The 20,546-nt window shown below is 39.7% G+C and overlaps 1 pseudogene across 1 annotated transcript in view; it reads right to left on the bottom strand.

Moving 5' to 3' along the window:
* Window positions 1–20,546, bottom strand: part of CCDC162P (coiled-coil domain containing 162, pseudogene) — a 189,118-nt pseudogene that overhangs the window by 131,691 nt on the left and 36,881 nt on the right. Inside the window, exons 9-11 of the transcript NR_152435.1 lie at window positions 19,391–19,543; window positions 16,805–16,906; window positions 5,872–6,033 (exon numbers count right to left, since the gene is read on the bottom strand). The product of NR_152435.1 is annotated as a coiled-coil domain containing 162, pseudogene (transcript). The remainder of the gene's footprint in view (window positions 1–5,871; window positions 6,034–16,804; window positions 16,907–19,390; window positions 19,544–20,546) is intronic.

Here is a 20,546-nt window from a genome sequence, read left to right as displayed (position 1 = left end):
AAGGGGAATTTAACTTTTCAGTAATGTTTCAACTTTTTACAAGGAGAAGACATTTATTTATCACTTATATGATTTAAACTTAATTTTTAAAAACTCCTTAAAGAAAAAAATGGTAACTTCAGTGGAGAAACCTGGCAATCACCAGTAGCTTAACCAAGTGAGCTAGATTAACATCAGCCATGATGTCACGTTGATATCATGTTCCCCGAATAGGATGTGGTGAGGACACTTAGCCTCTGTGATATTCTTCTTCTTCTAAACCCATAACCCCAGTGTAACCATGAGAAAATATCAGGCAAACTCAAATTAGGCAAAGGTCTACAGATTGCGGGGCTGGTACTCCTAAAGACTGTCAATGTCATGATAAACAAAGAAAGACTGAGGAACTGTCACAGAGCAGGGGAGGTGGGGGAGGTACGATGATTAAATGTAACATGGTATCCTGGATAGGATCCTAGGGCAGAAAGAGAACATTAATGGAAAAACTGGTGAAATCCAGATGAAGCCTAGTTTAGTTAACAGTAATGTACCAATGTTGGTTTCTTGGGTATGACAAATGTATCACTACAATGTAAGATGTCAATAATATAAGAAACTGAGTAGGGGTAGATGGGAACTCTTTGTACTGTCTTTGCAGCTTTTCTGTAAATCTCAAACTATTTCAAAATAAATAAAAAAAAAAAAACTCCCTAAAGGAAAGTGGGGCCGGGCACAGTGGCTCATGCCTGTAACCCCAGCACTTTGGGAGGCCCAGGCAGGTGGATTGCTTCGAGACCAGCCTGGGCAACATGGTGAAACCCTGTCTCTACAGAAAGAAAAAAAAATAGCTGGTAGTGATGGTGTGCGCCCACCCACCCGTAGTCCAAGCTACTCAGGGGGTTCAGTCAGGAGGATCACTTGAACCCAGGAGGCAAAGGCTGCAATGAGCTGAAATCGCACTACTGCACTTCAGCCTGGGCAACAGAGTAAGACCCTGTCAAAAACAAACAAAACAAAACAAAAAAGGAAAGGTTACTGGTGAATGGCATTCAGAGAGAACTGACCAGAAACTGTTCTGAAGTTGTGCTACAATTAGTGATTATATTCATTCTCTCAGAGATGCCAAAATGGACAGACAGTCGTCCTATGAAGTTTGTTTTTCTTTATGCAGAAGGCCCTTTAAGAAACTTATCTGTCATGAGGTATTGGTTGCCACTTGCCAAATTCAGAATCAAGATGCTGACCAGCATACAGATGCTAAAATCCACACTTGACTGCTACATGTTTGCAAAATAGTAACACAGCTTTAAGATTCATACTCACATTCCTGTAACTCCTCCTAGCTGCCACATTTTTACTTAATCCTAATCTGATTTGATTAGCATTTAACATCCAGAATGGCTATGTGCTACCAGTGGGGCACTGATACAGTATAAAGTGGCTCTTGACCAAAGCAGAAATACTCCAGGAGGTTACAAAGTGCCACCCATGGGAAAATGTGAAGAAAACTAGAAAATATTGGCTGTTGCCTTGGAATTTCTATTCTTAAACCCAGTACTATTTTCTGTTCTTTGCTTTGGAACAGAAAATAGCACTGGTTTTAAGAAAGGGAAAAAAGGAAAGGGAAGGGAGGGGAGGGGAGGGGAGGGAAAGGAAGGGGAGGGGAGGGGAGAGGAAGGGGAGAGGAGGGGAGGGGAAGGGGAGAGGAAGGGGAGGGGAAGGGAGGGGGAGGGGAAGGGAGGAGGAGGGGAGGGGTGGGGAGGGGAGGGGTGGGGAGGGGTGGGGAGGGGAGGGGTGGGGAGGGGAGGGGAGGGAAGGGAAGGGAAGGGAAAGGAAAGGAAGGGAATTCTTCTCTTTCTCCAGGCTCTTTGCATGGCTGCCTCCTTCTCATTCATTAAATTCAGTTCAATCCTCCCACCCCAAGATTTGGCTGAACTCTGTCAGAGGGTGCTCCCCTCCACTTATTGTTCTCTGCCCCCTGTTTTCTTCATGGCACTCACAAGTTAGAGATGTAGGTTTACTTCTTTGTTCACTTGTTTATTGCATGTTGCTCTCAGGGCAGGGACTGGGTCTGTTTCATCCCCTAACCCAAGTACAGTTCCTGACACAAAGGCAATGTCCATGTAATAATCATGGAATGAATGAATGAATGAGAAAATGGAAAACTTCATGATCCTAATTTGTACAGTGATTTGTGTGTGTGCTGTATGTCTCCCCTCATGCCCCATCTCTGGAATCTGAAGATCTACAGGTATTATTAGTCTCTCTATGGTCTATTTACCATAAGTCAACTTGAAAATGCAGTGCTGATATTTTTCTCCCTTTGGGGAATTCCAAGATTCCAAGAACAACATTTATATGTCAGTAAATAGCTAGAGGAAGTGGTTTTCTTTTCTTTTTATTATTTGGGCAATTGCATTCAAAACAGACTTTGGTGAAAGCACAGACTGCATCCTATCAGTACCTGAATCTCCATCTCCTCCACAAGGGGAAGAAAGCAGTGAGAGCAGAAAGTGTTAGTTGTCCCCTCCATTGCACGGCTGGGAGGAGAAGCAGGAGCTTTCCCTGCTTCCATTTCCACCAGTTTCTTACACAGTTGCCCTAGCTTGGTGTTTTCTACTACTCAACACTTACCTGAGCCACCATCTCCTACTGTCACTGTTTACTTTCTGCTTTTCACTGGCACAGTGGTCCTACAGAGGTAACCTCCTTTGTCCCCTAAGTGCCTGTGGGCAGTGCTACAACTCAGCTTCCCAGTGGTCAGGCCACACCCTAGACCTTACCGTTTCTCCATAATTTCAAACATGAAGCTCTTTATCTCTGACTCCCTCCTCCTTTGATTCCGACCTCTCCTCACTCTTTCTTTTTTTTTTTAAGACAGAGTCTCACTCTGTCGCCCAGGCTGGAGTGCAATGGCATGATCTCCGCTCACTGCAACCTCCGCCTCCAGGGTTCAAGCAATTCTCCTGCCTCAGCTTCCCGAGTAGCTGGGACTACAGGCGCGTGCCACCATGCCCGGCTAATTTTTTGTATTTTTAGTAGAGACAGGGTTTCACCATGTTAGCCAGTATGGTCTCGATCTCCTGACCTTGTGATCCACCCACTTCGGCCTCCCAAAGTGCTGGGATTACAGGCATGAGCCACTGTGCCTGGCCCTCTCCTCACTCTTATTCATCTCCTCTCACCTCTTTATGGACCTCCGGAATTTAATTCCCTTTATTCTCTCACTCAAGGAGGAAAACAGACTTGTGCTGATGGGCCTCAGATGTTAATACCATAACTCCCCAGGTAAAGGATGATTATTACATCTGCATCAAGAGGTAAACTGTCCAAGGCTGGGCATGATGGCTCACGCCTGTAATCCTAGCACTTTGGGAGGCTGAGGTGGGTGGATCACTTGAGGTCAGGAGTTCAAGACCAGCCTGGCCAACATGGAGAAACCCCATCTCTACTGAAAATATGAAAATTAGCCAGAGGTGGCCGGGCACCATGGCTCACACCTGTAATCCCAGCACTTTGGGAGGCTGAGGTGGGTGGATCACAAGGTCAGGAGATCAAGACCATCCTGGCTAACGCGGTGAAACCCTGTTTCTACTAAAAATACAAAAAATTAGCCAGGTGTGGTGGCGGGCGCCTGTAGTCCCAGCTACTCAGGAGGCTGAGGCAGGAGAATGGCATGAACCCAGGAGGCAGAGCTTGCAGTGAGCGAGATCATGCCACTGCACTCCAGTCTGGGCAACAGAGCGAGACTCTGTCTCAAAAAAAAAAGAAAATTAGCCAGAGGTGGTGGTGCATGACTGTGGTCCCATTGAACCTGGGAGGCAGAGGTTGCAGTGAGCCGAGATCGCACCACTGCACTCCAGTCTGGGTGACAGAGTGAGACTCTGTCTCAAAAATAAATAAATAAATAAAGATAAAAATAAAAATAAGTAAACTGTTCAGGATCTCAGAAGAAAAGACACGGTTCCAAGACACTGGGACAGACTCTGCCTTCTCACTCCTTTCTCCTCTACCCTGTATCCTCTATGTTTGGTTCAGGAACAGGAGAGTCAATGTTTTTTTAATATCTCCTTATTCGTGTAAGGTCTTCCTGAATGGTGATACAAACTTCAGTTGTAAAACGGCAATGGGATAGGAAAAATGTGGCTATTTTTTCAACTCTGGCAGGATGCTAGCCAAGGAGTGTGTCACTGATAGTTGCATACCCTGTCGGGAAATTCAGGGGCCTGGGAGATCCATGTTATGATATATTGCCTCTGCTCCTGATCTGTGTGGCCAACTCATTTCTCATTAGATCTCTAGATCCTTGCTCAAACAAATTGAACAGTTATAAAAGGGGTGTGTGTGTGTGTGTGCATGTGTGTGTGTGTGTGTGTGCTCCCAACTAATCTATAACTCACTGGATACCTTGAGGTCTCACTTTCCCCCATATCCAGCCTGGGATAATGGACCGTGACCGTACTTCTTTCTCCAGCATTTACTCAACTTCCTCTCAACTTTGATTTTATACAATTTTCAGGCACTCTACAATCATGTTTAGGGGTGAAAGGAATAGAATTTATACAAAAGGGGCTCACTACAAATTCATAGCATTGTGTTTTACCAGGGGCCTCTTGACTATGCAGTCACTCATGTATTTTCCTCTTACTGATGGTCCTGTGGTCTTTCTCATAGCCATGCACCTCCTCACGTGTAGCTCTTGCCGTCCACTTCACTAATGCAGATGAGCTCTGCCTCCTCCCTCTCTCTGAGACAGCCAGGGCCAGTCAGGAGCACCCACATCTTACCTTTTTGCACCTGAAAATTCTATGTATCCCATTCACCTCAAGGGAAGGGATGTCATTCTTGATTTCTCAAAATTACTCCTCCATCTGGTTTCTTCATCCCATCGCTTCCTCTTCCCCAGGGTCATCTGTTTCTCACATTTCCCTTTTCATATCTTCTGTCTCCTCTTCTCTACTGCTTCCTCCCCTTAGACTATAAACATATTTAGGCCTTCCCAACTTAAATAGACAAATGAAACGAAACTCTTCTTTTAGAGTGACAAATAATAGCAGATGAAAACTTCAAAAATGTTATGGTATCATTGTAAAGACAAGTATACACCAGCTTTGTGAATAAACTTCTTTTCACTTCCAAACCTCATGCCTATCCTGTGCAGCAGCTACCTAACTGGCTTCCTTGTCTCCAAACTCTCCCTCTTTCAGTCCAACTAACATTTTGCTGTCACATTATTTTTCCTTAAACATATGCCTTTGTATGAAATATTTTCCTTATAGGAAAAAGCACAGATTCTTTTGTCTGGAATGCATGAGCATTCACAACCAGCACCTCCCCTGACAAATAAAGAAACAAACATTCTTTCTTTTCACTGTATTTCCACATGAATCTTCCACTCAACTAAGCTGGCTCTGACTATATCACATCCAGTATCTCCTCAGCATGCTCTTCATGCTGTACCTCCTAGAATGCACTCCCTACTTTCCTCCCCACCACTTCCGTAAGTCCTATGCTTCCTTCAAACCCAGCTCAATTTCCTCTCCTTCAAGAGGCTTTCCCCAATAGAATCTACCCTTTGGGGTCCACTTTCTAAATACGATATTTAATAACTGTCCAACTCATTGGTTGCTTAGCCCTTGGATGTACAGCCTTGCACTGGCATTTACTGGTTTAAGTATCTGTCCTTGTAGGAACAACATCTTATGTTATACTTCTTTATATCTTTCTTTTTAATGAGCACTTAATCTTTCTTATAATGAAAATAAACCTGGCTAGATGATAGAGATTTTCGTGGGAAGGGTGTCAGAAAAACTACCAAAGTAAATATCTAAGGGCTACACACAGGTAGCAAGTTGCATAAAAGGGCATATTGGTTATTTCTTCCTATAGTACCTGACAGAGGTTGATGTTGTTGTCAATATTCTCCCAGACTTGGTCATAATTGCCCTGATGCAAACCTTGGGAAGCCACAAACGATGGCTGATGTGGAGCCAGCATGACTGTCTTTGCAGCGTGATCTTGGAGCACTTGCATTACTCACTCAGGGTTGGAAATCTCAGGGAGAATAGAGAAGAGAAGGAATGGTTATGAGAAGCATATTCCCTTTTTCTCAGCAAGACTTTGGTCACATACACGTGAACAAGGAAGAAAATTTAGGTAGGACTTTATTCAATTAAAAAATAAAATTAAAGTCCAGCATCATGATTCCCCAAATATGTTTGTCCATTTAGCACTGTAAGTATTCAAATATACATAGTAGCTCATTTAAAAATTCTGTGACAATCCCCTAAAGACAATAGCAGGTGGTACTCCCACAACTGTTGTGACATCAGTGAAAAGATAAACACCCATCAGCATTGGGTGCAAACTCTGTCAACTGTTAGGAAGCTTCTGGGCAATGGAGGAGGGCGCAGAAGTGTAGCACAAGAAGAGCACAAGCTTTATAAGGACACAGACCTGGGCTTGTATCTCTGCAGGAATCCTGGCTTTTCCATGCAGAGCAGGGCAAGTCAACCTAACAAAAATACTAATGATGTCTCTACCCAGAGTGCTGCAATAATGCCTACCATGTAGAAGGAGCTGAATAAATGTCCCTTCTTCTCATCTGGAGGTAAAGAATTTAATAATAATCCCAGAACTGAATTGCTACTTAAGTGATACATATATACTACATCACTTTAATATCACAAAGAACCTCAAAGATCATTTATTTCAATCTCTATCAAAATTCCAAAGATATTTCTTGCAGATATAGAAAAATTCATCCTACAATTTATATGAAATCTCAAGGGACCCCAAACAGCTAAACAACTTTCCAAAAGAACAAAGTTGAAGAACTTACACTCCCTGAATTCAAAAAATATTACAAAGATATAGTAATCAAAACAGTATGGTACTGGCATAAAGAGAGACAGGTAGACCAATGGAATAGAGTAGAAAGCCTAGAAATAAACTCTCACATATATGGTTAAGGGTGCCAAGACCGCTCAATGGGGAAAGGACAATGTCTTCAATATATGGTGTTGGGAAAACTGAATATCCACATGCAAAATAATAAAGTTTTATCATTATACCACATACAAAAATTACTCAAAATGAATTAAAGATCTAAATGTAAGACCTACAATTATGAAACTCTTGGAAGGAAACATAGGGGAAATGCTTCATGATATTAAATTTGGCAACCATTTCTTGAATATAACACCAAAAGTCGAAGCAACAAAAGCAAAAATGGACAAATAGGATGACACCAAATTTAATAACTTTTGTGCAGCAAAGGATGCAAATCAATTGAAACGAAGAGTCAACCTATATAATGGGAGAAAAGATTTGCAAATTATATATCCAATAAGTGGCTAATAGCCAGAATACATAAAGAACTCCAGGCTGGGTGCAGTGGTTCACACCTGTAATCCCAGCACTTTGGGAGACCAAGGCAGGTGGATTGCTTGAGCCCAGGAGTTCAAGACCAGCCTGGGAAACATGGTAAAACCCCATCTCTACAAAAAAATACCAAAATATTAGCCTGGTGTAGTGGTGTGCACCTGTAATCCCAGGTACTTGAGAGGCTAACGTGGGAGGATCGCTTGAGCCCAGGAGGAGGAGGTTGCAGTGAGCCAAGGTCACACCACTGCACTTCAGCCTGGGTAACAGAGTGAGACCCTGTCTCAAAAAGAACTGCAACTCACAAGAAAAGATCAAATAAACTGATTTAAAAATAGGCAGTCAATTACCAAAAAAAAAAAAAAAAAAGAAAGATGAAAGAAAAAATAAGCAAAGGATTTGAATAGATATTACCTAAAGATGATATACAAATGGCTAAGAAGCATATAAAAGATGCTCAACATCACTAATCATCAGAGAAACTCAAATCAAAACCACAGTAAGATTTCACCTCACACCCATTAGAATGGCTGCTATTAAAAATCATAAAATAACCAGTGTTGGTGAAGATGTGGCAAAACTGGAACCTTTGTGCACTGTTGGTGGGATTGTAAAATGGTGCAAATGCTATGGAAAACAGTATGGTGGTTCCTAAAAAAATAAAATAAAATAAAATTACCATGTGATCTAGCAATTGTACTTCTGGATATATATCCAAAAGAATTGAAAGCAAGATCTTGAAGAGGTATTTGCACATCCATATTTATAGCAACAGTATTGACAATATCCAAAAGGTGGAAGCAACCCAAATCCTCATATCAGATGAATAGATTTTTTTTAATGTGGTATATACTTATAAGGGAATGTTATTCAGCCTTGAAAAAAGGAAGGAAATTCTGACACAAACTGCAACATGGATGAACCTTGAGGACATTATACTAAGTAAAATAAACCACAAAGACAAATATTGCATGATTCCACTTATATGAGGTATCTAAAGTAGCCAAACATATAGAAAAAGAAAGTAGAATGGTGGTTGCCAGGAGCTGGGAGGAAGGGAAAATGAGAGTTGTTTGATGGGTATAGAGTTTAAGTTTGCAAGATAAAAACATCCTGAAGATATATTGTGAAATATTATGAATGTATTCAATGCCACAATTATCATGTTCTTTTGGAGGTGTCACGTTTCCTTGCTTTTCTGCTTCTTGTAATCTTTTTTTTTTTTTTGAGATGGAGTTTCGGTCTTGTTGACCAGGCTGGAGGGCAATGGTGCTATTCCAGCTCACCACAACCTCTGCTTCCCAGGTTCAAGCGATTCTCCTGCCTTAGTCTCCCGAGTAGCTGGGATTACAGGCATGCATCACCATGCCCAGCTAATTTTGTATTTTTAGTACAGACGGGGTTTCTCCATGTTGGTCAGGCTGGCCTCGAACTCCCAACCTCAGGTGATCCACCTATCTCGGCCTCCCAAAGTGTTGGGATTACAGGCGTGAGCCACTGTGCCTGGATGCTTCTTGTATTCTTACATTGATATCTGTGTATCTGGTGGAATGGGTGCCTCTTCCAATTTTATGGGGTAGCTTTTATAGGGATACATTTTCTGTATCCCTGAATGGTATACAGTAAATATTCATTTAATGTCATCAATAGGTTCTTGGAAACCACAACTTTAAGCAAAACAGTGTAGAGCAGGTCCTCAGGTAACATCATTTTATTCAATATCATTTTATTGTAATGTTGATGAGAAAAAATGCTGATTTTTCTTATACGTTGTTTTGTTTAAAGTTGCAGTTTCCAAGAATCTATCAATGGTGTTCAGTGAGGACGTACTGTACTTAAAGATGGTTAAGATGGTAAATTTTATGTTACTTTTTTTTTAACCAAAATAAAAGTATCACTTAGGTGCAGGCTCCCCAGGGACCAATGACTGGTCCACCTGGTGCCTACAGCTGCCAGCAAACCCATCTCCTCCAGTGGCAGAGCCACCATGTACTACACCAGTATCCCAGGAACCAACATCCAGCCTGACTGGTGCCTGCAACACCAACCCTGCAACCAGCAGAGATGCCATGCCCACTGTGTGCCCTCCAGAACCTAAGAATTGGCCCACTTGGTGGCCCTTACCCCAAGCAAAGCCACAACACTGCCTTCACAAATACCCAGAGCCTAGGCCGGTAAGGTACTTGCAGACACTGAATACAGCCAAAGAAATCACACAGAGACTACTCTACTGTACCCATCCAGAACCAAAACTAAAGCATCCTTACCTAACCAACACTATAGGACACATCTATGGGGAAAATGTATCCCTATAAAAGCTACCCCATAAAATTGGAAGAGGCACCCATTCCACCAGATATGCAGATATCAATGTAATAATACAAGAAGCAAAAAAGCAAAGAAACATGACCCCTCCAAAGGAACATGGTAAGTATCTAGCAACAGACCCCAAAGAAAAGGCAATCTATAAAATGCCTGGATAGGAATTCAAAATAATTATTTTAAGAAAACTCAGTGAGATACAAGAGAAAACAGATAGACAACTCAATGAAATCAGAAAAATAATTCATGATCTAAATGAAAAATCTGGCCAGGCATGGTGGCTTATACCTGTAATCCCAGCACTTTGGGAGGCTGAGGTGGGAGGATTGCTTGAGTCCAGGTGTTCAAGACCAGCCTGGGAAACACAGTGAGATCTTATCTCTACTAAACATTTTTAAAATTAGCTAGGTGTGGTAGTACATGCACGTAGTCCCAGCTACTTGGGAGGCTGAGGTGGGAGGATCATTTGAGCCCAGAAGTTCAAGGCTGTAGTGAGAGTTCTAATTGTGCCACTACACTCCAGCCTAAGTGACAAAGCAAGACTCTGTCTCAAAAACAAATAAAAAATAAATAACATACTCAATAGAGATTGATATAAAAAAGACCCAAACAGAGATCTTAGAGTTAAAGAATTCAGTGAATAACATAAGAAATACAATTGAGAAATTCAACAATAGACTAGATCAAGCAGAAGAAAAATTTTCTGAACTTGAAGGTCTTTTGAAATAATCCAGCCAGACAAAAAAGAAAAAAATGAAGAAAGCTTAAACGACTTATATAAAACCATTAAGTAAACAAATATTCATTTTATGGGAATTCCAGAAGGAGAAGAGCTGGAAGAAGGCATAGAAAACCTACATAATAAAATAATCACTGAAATCTTCCCAAGTCTTAGGAGAGATATGGATATCCATATCTAGTAAGCTCAAAAGTTCCCAAATTCAACCCAGAAAGCCCTCTCTGAGCCACATTATAGTTAAACTGTCAAAAGTCAAAGCAAAGGAGAAAATTCTAAAAACAGCAAGAGAAAAGTGTCAAGTTACATATCATGGAATCTCCATCAGACTAACAGAGGTTTCTCAGCAAAACCTTATGGACCAGAAGAAAATAGGAGGATATATTTAAAGTGCTGAAAGAAAAGAAAAACTGCCAGTCAAGAGTACTATTCCTAGCAAAGTTAACCTTCAGAAATGAAGGCAAAATAAAGTTTTTTCCAGACAAGGAGAAAATGGGGAATTTATCATCACTAGACTGGCTTCGCAAGAAATATAGAAGTCCTGCATCTGGAAGTGAAAGGACAATAACTACCCTCATGAAAACAGACAAAAGTATAAAAGTTACTGATAGAGCAGATACACATAAGAAAGAGAAGGTAATCAAATCTTTTTGCTACAGAAAACCACCAAACTGAAAATATAAACAATAAGAAAGGAAACAGGAACAAAGACTATATGAAACAACCAGAAAACAACTAACAGAATGACATGAGTAAGCCTTCACCTATCAACAATAACCTTGAATATAAATAGTTTAAATTCCCCAATTAAAAGACATAGACCGTCTGAATTGATTTTTTAAAATGATCCAATTATATGCTGCCTAGAAGAAACTCACTTCATCTGTAAAGACACGTAAACTAAAAAAAAAAAAAAAAAAAAAAGGGATGGAAAAAAATATTCCATGCAAATGGAAGCCAAATGTGAGCAGGTGTAGCTATACTTACATCAGATAAAATAGATTTTAAGTCAAAAACAGTAAAAAGAGATAAAGTTTATTATATAATGACAAAGGGATCAATTCAGCAAGAGTATATAGTAATTATAAATATATATACACCCAACACCAGAGCACCCAGATATTTAACCAAATATTATTAGATCTAAAGGGAGAGATAGACTCCAATACTATAATAGTTGATGCCTTCAATACCCCACACTCAGCACTGGAGAAATCATCTAGATGGAAATTCAACAAAGAAATATCAATCTTAAATTGCACTATAAACAAATGGACCTAATAGACATTTACAGAACATTTTAACCAACAGTTACAGAATACATATTCTTCTCATCTGCACCTGGAACACTCTCTAGGATAGACAAAATGTTAGGCCACAAAAAAAGACTCAAAAAATTTTTAAAAAATCAAAATTATATTAAGTATCTTTTCAGACCTCATTGGAATAAAACTAGAAATCAATAACAAGGGAAACTTTGGGAATGGCACAAACTCATGGAAATTAAACAACATGCTCCTGAATGACCAACAAATCAATAAAGAAATTAAAAAGCAAATTTTAAAAATGTATTGAAACTAATGAAAATAGAAACACAACATGCTGGCCAGGCGTGGTGGCTCACATCTGTAATCTCAGCATTTTGGGAGGCCAAGGCAGGCAGATCACCTGAGGTCGGGAGTTCAAGACCAGCCTGGCCAAAATGCTGAAACCTCATCTCTACTAAAAATACAAATTTAGCCAGGCTTGGGGGCAGGAACCTGTAACCCCAGCTACTCAGGAGGCTGAGGCACGAGAATTACTTGAACCCAGGAGGTGGAGGTTGCAGTGAGCCAGGATCACGCCACTGTACTCCAGCCTGGGTGACAGAGTGAGACTCCATCTCAAAATAAAAATAAAAATAAAAAAAAGAAAAGAAACATAACATACCAAAACCTATCGGATACAGCAAAAGCAGTATAAGAAGGAAGTTTATAGCAACAAACACCTACACCAAAAAGTAGTAAATTTTGAAAATAACAACCTACTGATGCACCTCAAGGAACTAAAGAAGCAAGAACAAACCAAATCCAATATAAGTAGAAGGGAATACATAATAAAAATCAGGGCAGAAATAAATTAATTAAAAACTAAAAACAATACAAAAGATCAATGAAACAAAAAGCTGACTTTTTAAAAAGATAAACAAAATTGAAAAACCATTAGCTAGACTACCTAACAAAAAAAAATCTGAATAAATCAAATTAAAAATGAAAGAGGAGACATTAAAACTGATACCACAGAAATACAAGGACTAGGCCGGGCACAGTGGCTCACACCTGTAATCCCAGCACTTTGGGAGGCTGAGGTGGGTGGATCACCTGAGGTCAGGAATTCGAGGCCAGCCTGACCAAAATGGAGAAACTGCGTCTCTACTAAAAATACAAAATTAGCCAGGCATGGTGGCAGGTGCCTGTAATCCCAGCTACTCGGGAGGCTGAGGCAGGAGAATTGCTTGAACCCGGGAGGCAGAGGTTGTGGAGAACCAAGATTGCGCCATTGCACTCCAACCTGGGCAACAAGAGCGAAACTCTGTCTCAAAAAAAAAAAAAAAAATACAAGGACCATTAAAGACTATTATAAACAACTATAGGCCAACAAATTGGAAAACCTAGAGGAAATGGGTAAACTTCTGGACACATGCAACCTATCAAGATTGAACCAGGAAGAAGTAGAAAACCTGAACAGATGAATAACAAGGAACACAACTGTATCAGTAATAAAAAGTCTCTCAACAAAGAAAAGCCAAGAACTGGATGACTTCATTGCCGAATTCTACCAAATTTTTAAAGAATTAACGTGGATTCCTCTTATACTATTCCAAAAACATGAAAAGGAGGGAATTCTTCCAAATTCATTCTACAAGGCCAATATTACCCTAATACAAAACCCAGACAAGGACAGAACAACAAAAAAGAAAACTACAGGCTGATATTCCTGATGAACATAGATGCAAAAATCTTCAACAAAACAGTAGTAAACCAAACCCAACAGCGCACCAAAAGATTAATACACCATGATCAAGTGAGATTTATCCCAGGGATCCAAGGATGATTCAATATACACAACTCAATAAACTTGATACATCACACAAAGAGAATGAAGAACAAAAATACATGATCATTTCAATAGGCACAGAAAAAGCATTTGATAAAATTCAACATCCCTTCATGATAAAAACTCTCAACAAATTAGGCATAGAAGAAATTTACCTCAGCACTATAAAGTCTACATACGACAAACCTACAACTAACATTATGAGGAAAAGTTGAAAGGTTTTCCTCTAATAGTTGGAACAATATAAATGTGCCTACTTTCCCCACTACAATTTGACACTGTACTAGAAGTCCTAGCCAGAGCAACTAGGCAAAACTAAAAACAAAGGGCATTCAAATTGGAAAAAAGGAAGTCAAATTGTCTTTTTGAAGACAATGTGATCTTATATGTGGAAAAACCTAAAGACTTTGCCAAAAACTCTTAGAACTGACAGACAAATTTAGTAAAATTTCAGGATACAAAATCAACATACAAAAATTATTGGCATTTCTATACACCAATAACAAACTAGCTGAAAAAGGAACCAAGAAAGCAATTACATTTTCAATAGCTATAAAAAATATTATGTAGGAATAAAATTAATCACACAGGTGAAAGATCTCTACAATAAAAACTACGAAGTACCAATGAAAGAAATGGAAGAAAACACAAAAAATGGAAAGAAATACCATGTTCATAGATTGAAAAGATTAATATTGTTAAAAATGACCATGCCCAAATTGATCCACAGATTCAAAGCAATCCCTATCAAAACACCACTGACATTCTTCACAGAAATAGAAAAAATAATCCTAAAATGTGTACGGAACCACAAAAGACCCAAACAACCAAAGTAATCCTGATCAAAAAGAACAAAGCTGGTGGCATCACATTATCTGACTTCAAAATATACTATAAATATACTGTAACTAAAGCAGCATGGTACTGGCATAAAAACAGGTACATGGATCAATGAAACAGAATAGAGAACCCAGAAATAAATCCTCATATTTATAGTCAAGTGATTTTTAACAAAGGCACCAAAAACATACATTGGGGAAAGAACAGTCTCTTCAATAAATGGTGCTGGATAAACTGGATATCTGGATATGCAGAAAAATGAAACAAGACCCTTCTCTCTCCATATACAAAAATCAACTCAAAATGGATTAAAGATTTAAATATAAGACTCTGAACTATAAAACTATTAGAAGAAACTATAAGGAGAAACACTTCGGGACATTGGTCTGGGAAAATATTTTATGGATATAATCTCCAAAGCATAGACAACAAAAGCAAAAATAGACAAGTGGGATTATTTCAAACTAAACACACACACACACACACACACACACACACACACACAAATAATCTGATCTAGAAATGGGAAAATTATCCTGAATGGATATTTCTCAAAAGAAAGTATGCAAATGACCAACAAGTATATGAAAAAATGCTCAACATCACTAATCATCAAATGCAAATCAAAAACCACAATGTGATATAATCTCATTCCAGTTAGAATGGCTATTAACAAAAAGACAAAAAAAATCAAATTCTGGCAAAGATGCAGAGAAAAGACAACTCTTATACACTGTTGGACTTATAAATTACCATAGCCATTATTGAAAAAAGTATGGAGGTCCCTCTAAAACCTATAACTAGAACTACCACATGATCCAGCAATCTCACTATGGTGTATAAATTTTTAAAAAAGGAAATCAGTATATTGAACAGGTATCTGTACTCCCATGTTTATTGCAGCCCTATTCACAATAACCAAGATAAAAGTATCCGTTAACAGATGAATGGATAAAGAAAATGTGTTATATATACCCAGTGGAATACTATTTGGCCGTAAAAAGAATGAGATCCTGTCATTTGCAACAACACTGATGAGCTTGGAGGACTTAATGTTAAGTGAAATAAGCCAGGCACTGAAAGGTAAACACATGTTCTTACTCATGTTCTCCACATGTTCTTACCCATTTTCACAAGCTAAAAAAGTTGTTCTCATAGAAGCAGAAAGTAGAATAGTGATTATTAAGGCTGAGAGGGTGAGGGTGGGATAGGGAGAGATTGTTTAAAGGATACAAAATTATCAGTAGATAGGGAAAATAAGTTCTTGCATTCCATAGCACTGTAACGTGACTGTAGTTAACAATAATTTATTGTATATTTTCAAATAATTAGAAAAGGGGATTTTGAATATTCCCAGGGCAAATAAATAATAGATGTTTGAGAAGATGGATATGCTAGTTACCTTGATTTGATAATTATACACTGTATGTATCAAAATATCACTCTGTACCCTATAATTATGTACAATTTTTGTCAATTAAAATATTTTAAAAAATAATTTAGTTGAGTATTTTGTTTCACAGATAAAGAAGCTAAGGCTCAAGGAGGTTACATGACTAGACAAATATCACAGGGAGTTGGTGTTAAAGCTGGACTAAAATCCAGTTTTTTGGGTTTTGGTTTTGGTTTTTGTTTGTTGTTGTTATTGTTGTTTGAGACAGAGTCTCACGCTCTCACCCAGGCTGGAGTGCAGTATGCAATCATGGCTCACTGAAACCTTGACCTCCTGGGCTCAAGCCATCCTCCCACCTCAGCCTCCTGAGTAGCTGGGACTACAGGTGTGTTTCACCACACCTGGCTAATTTTTAAAGAAAATAATTTGTAGAGACAGGGTCTCTTTTTGTTGCCTACGCTGGTCTTGAACTCCTGGGCTCAAACAATCCTCCTGCCTTGGCCTCCCAAAGTGCTGGGATTACAGACATGAGTCACTGTGCCTGGCCCTAAAGTCCAGCTTTTTGACAATTTTTTATTCTCTACTGAAAGCTAACAGGATTTTTAAAGTGTGGCAATTAGATTAGAAAGTTTAAAATAAGGCCAGGCATGGTGGCTCACGCCTGTAATCCTACAATTTTGGGAGGCCGAGGTGGGCAGATCACTTGAGGTCGAGAGTTCGAGACCAGCCTGGCCAACATGGTGAAACCCCGTCTCTACTAAAAATACAAAAATTAGCTGGGCATGGTAGTGCACGCCTGTAATCCCAGCTGCTAGGGAGGCTGAGGCAGGAGAATCGCTTGAGCCCAGGAGGCAGAGGTTGCAGTGAGCCGAGATCACGCCACTGCACACCAGCCTGGGTGACAGAGCAAGACTCTTGTCTCAAAAAAAAAAAAAAGTTTCAAATAAAGCCGTCATGGTGAATCCATGCCAACATTTTTAAAAAGGGAAAGAAAATTGCATATTTTGAGAATGATTTTAGAAAACATCTACATGGAAACATGGTTATTTTCTCACCTTCAAAAACTTTGCTTGGAGTTGCAATAATGCATCTGTTCTTCTCCGTTCTTTTAATTTAGTCAAAAGCTTCTTTTGCCATGGATCACATTTTGGCTTGATCTAGTGGACAAACATGTTCACATAAAGTTACAACATAACAGAATGATTCTCAATAAAAGTTGCAAGCAAAGAGATTCAAGGACCTTCTGAAATGGTATCTGGCTTTGGTGCTAGGTTGGCTAGGACAAGTGAGCTTTTGGAAAGGGTCTTCATGGGTTCACAGATCCATTGAAGGAGACAGCAGCACCAGTTCCTGTTGGTGCCTGGACTATAAGATGCAGTAGATCTATCTGGGATGACACCATACCACCCACAAGCAGCAGGGACCCTAAATCCATCAGAGTTGGTCATTGCACTTTATTTACAGGGCAAAAGAAAGTTCACCCACAGACTCCATGTGACTCCACATTTAAAACATCTTTCATATTAATAAACTGTATTTCAAAAATAAGTTCTGTTGCTGTAAACACCATTAACACTCAAATTTATATCTCAGCCCTAAACTCCAGCCTATTATATCCAACTACTCCTTTGATATCTATTCTTGGATATCAAGTGTAACAATCTAAAACAGAAAGTCTGGCTTCCCTTACATAGACTACCTTGTTCCTCAAGCACTAGATGGAACTAGGAGAAATCTTTGATTTCTCTCAGTCCATCCTGATTCACTCCTATGGTCTGAATGTGTTCCTCTAAAATTTAAATGTTGAAACCTAACCCCCAAGGTGATGGCATTAGTAATAGAATTTGGGGATGTGATTAGATCATGATGGTAGAGCCCTCATGAACAGCATTCATGCCCTTACAAAAGAGGCCTGAGGGAGCTTGGCTTTTTTCTTCCACCATGTGAGGACACAGGGAGAAGCAGAAGCCTGTAGCCTGGAAGAGGACCTTCCAGAACTTGACCATGCTGGCCCCCGATCTTGGACTTCCCAGCCTCTAGAACTGTGAGAAATATATTTCTGTTCTTTATAAGCTACCCAGTTTATGGTATTTTGTCAAAGCAGCCTGAATAGACTAAAACAGTCATACAAAATTTATTTGATTTTATTTTAATTTTTAGATGGAGTCTCACTCTGTCGCTAGGCTGGAGTGCAGTGGCGCAATCTCAGCTCACTGCAACCTCCACCTCCCAGGTTCAAGTGATTCTCCTGCCTCAGCCTCCCAAGTAGCTGGGACTACAGGCTCATGCCACCACGCCCAGCTAATTTTTGTATTTTTTTTTTTAGTAGAGAGGGGGTTTCACCATGTTGGCCAGGATGGTCTCGATGTCTTGACCTCGTGATCCGCCCACCTTGGCCTCCCAAAGTGCTGGGATTACAGGCGTGAGCCACCGCACCTGGCCAAGATTTTTCTTTTCTTCATGATACAATCAATCCTTGTTGTTTGTGGATTCCATGTTTGTGATTTTGCCTACTATCTAACATTTTTTGTGACTCAAAACTCAATACTAGTAGAGTTTTCACAGTCACTCATAGGCGTGTGCAGGGTGGTAAAAATTTGAATCACTCAATGGGCATATTCTCAATTCAGTATGAACAAGGCAACACTCTGCCTTCTTGTTTCTGCTCGCATATTACAAACAAGGATCCTTTTGTGGTCCATTTAGTGCCACATTCTTCACATTTTTGTGCTTTTTGGTGGTCATTTTACTGTTGAAAATGGTCCCCATGGGTAGTGCCAAAGTAATGTCTAATGTTCCTAAGCATTAGAAGGCTGTGTGATGTACCTTTTGGAAAAAATACATGTGTTAAATAAGCTTCATTCAGGCATGAATTATAGTGCTGTTAGTCATTAGTTCAATATTAATGAATCAACAATATATTTTAAATAAGATGTCTTTAAACAGAAACACACATAAAACAGTTATGTATTGATGAGTGTTCCGACGAGAGGTTCACAGGAACTAACTCTATTTCCCCTAGGGGTAACGATTCAATATTTGCTAACTCAGTGTTCCTGGTGACTTTCCAGAACACAACTACCTTGAATAACAAGAATTGACCATAGTTAGCACTACCTAAAATCATCTTATTTAGTCTGCTTACTTGCATATTGTTTGTGAACTGTGTATCTCCAGCATGAACGGCCACACCTGATATACAATATGTACCAAATAAATAGTTTTTGACTCAATGGTTGGATTTACACAAGTCAATCACACCCTTGGATAGTAAGCTTAGCTCTTGCCAAGTATCTGAGATCATTAGTAATAAGCAGGGAGTTTGGGCCCATTAGAGTGGGGTACTGGCATCTGGAGAACCTTCAGAGAAGGCAGATTAGCATAGCAAACTTCGATATAGAGCCAAGGCAGGCAAAAAGCTGGGACAGTGTGGCACACAAGGCCAGGTTCTCTGAGTTGCCTCCCTTGAGGACAGGGAAGCATCTCCCCTAGTCAAAGAGGACAGTTTGCTGAGGGCACTAAGGAGAGGGGACAACAGGGACTACATAAACCTGTTGTTGCCAGGTTGCCTAGCCTGCTTAGATGACACTGTGACACTGCTGACATCACTGATAGATGACTATCACTACAAGTCTCTTTACCTTTATGAAGGAAATCCAGTTGGCTTTCTTTTTCAGGGTCATTCTGGGTCCTGCCAAACCCAAATTATCTGCTTTAGCTATTCCAGCTTCACAGTCTGGAAACATTTGCAATCTCTGTTGCTCCATGAAGACGCTTTGAAATTTTTGGGAAACCTAAACAGGATGAAGTGAGAAGTGGAATCCAGAAAAAAAGTCTCAGAGAGTGGGCAATTTCAAAAACAGCTACTGGTTGTCTTTGAAATAGCCTTGGAATCAAACTAATTTATAAAACACAACTCTGTGATAGTGACAAGACCTTAAATTGGCATACTTGTGTGGCGCATGTTCTCAGTCAGCTCATTACCATAATTGTGTGTATTACCTGTTCTGAATGTCTGCTCCAGAGATTGGAAATATATTAATGCATTTATATATATATATATTGAACTGGAACCTAAATATAAGTGAGAAGTAAATTGTCCACCTTTGAAAATGCATTCACTTTTTCCGACCACCCAATAAACTATTATAGACTAAATAAGGATTAAATAAATCCTGTTCTCAGAGGCCTGACGATGCTAGAACCTGTTAAACTCTTTAAGGCATCTCAACCTATTCCCTTCATAGCTTACTTTCAGACTGAGGCTACAAGTGCTTTCTACGACATCGGTTCCTACTGTCAAAATGCTGAACATTCCTTCTTCCCCCTCCAGTGTGGGCCCCTGTGGTGGCACCTTCATCACTGTACTTGCCACGTTGTGTCAGGATTTCCTCACTACATGGTGAGCCCCATTCAGGGCATAGACTATGAATGTCAAGAATTCACCACATGGTGATGGCCACACAACAATGTGAATGTACTTAATGCCACTGAACCGAACACTTACCAATGGCTAAAATGGTAAATTTTGTTATGTTATTTTACCACTCATGTGTGCACATGTACACACACAGTAAGAAACTACCACAGTGCTGACACATACTAGGGCCTCAACAAAGGTTTCTGGAATGAGTGAGTAAATTTGTGAGTCACAGAGCTGAAGATTCTTCTAGTAATAATGCTACTACCTCTGAGGTTGTGCTATCCAATGCTGTTGCCCCTAGCAACATGTGGCTGTTTAACATTATGAATTAATTAGAATTAAATAAAATTTGAAATCTAGTTCTTGAGTTGTGC

The sequence above is a fragment of the Homo sapiens genome, chromosome 6 (genome assembly GCF_000001405.40).
Source record: "Homo sapiens chromosome 6, GRCh38.p14 Primary Assembly".
NCBI lineage: Eukaryota > Metazoa > Chordata > Mammalia > Primates > Hominidae > Homo > Homo sapiens.
The sequence above is the reverse complement of the archived record's forward strand: the minus strand, read 5'-3'. Positions and strand labels throughout refer to the sequence as shown.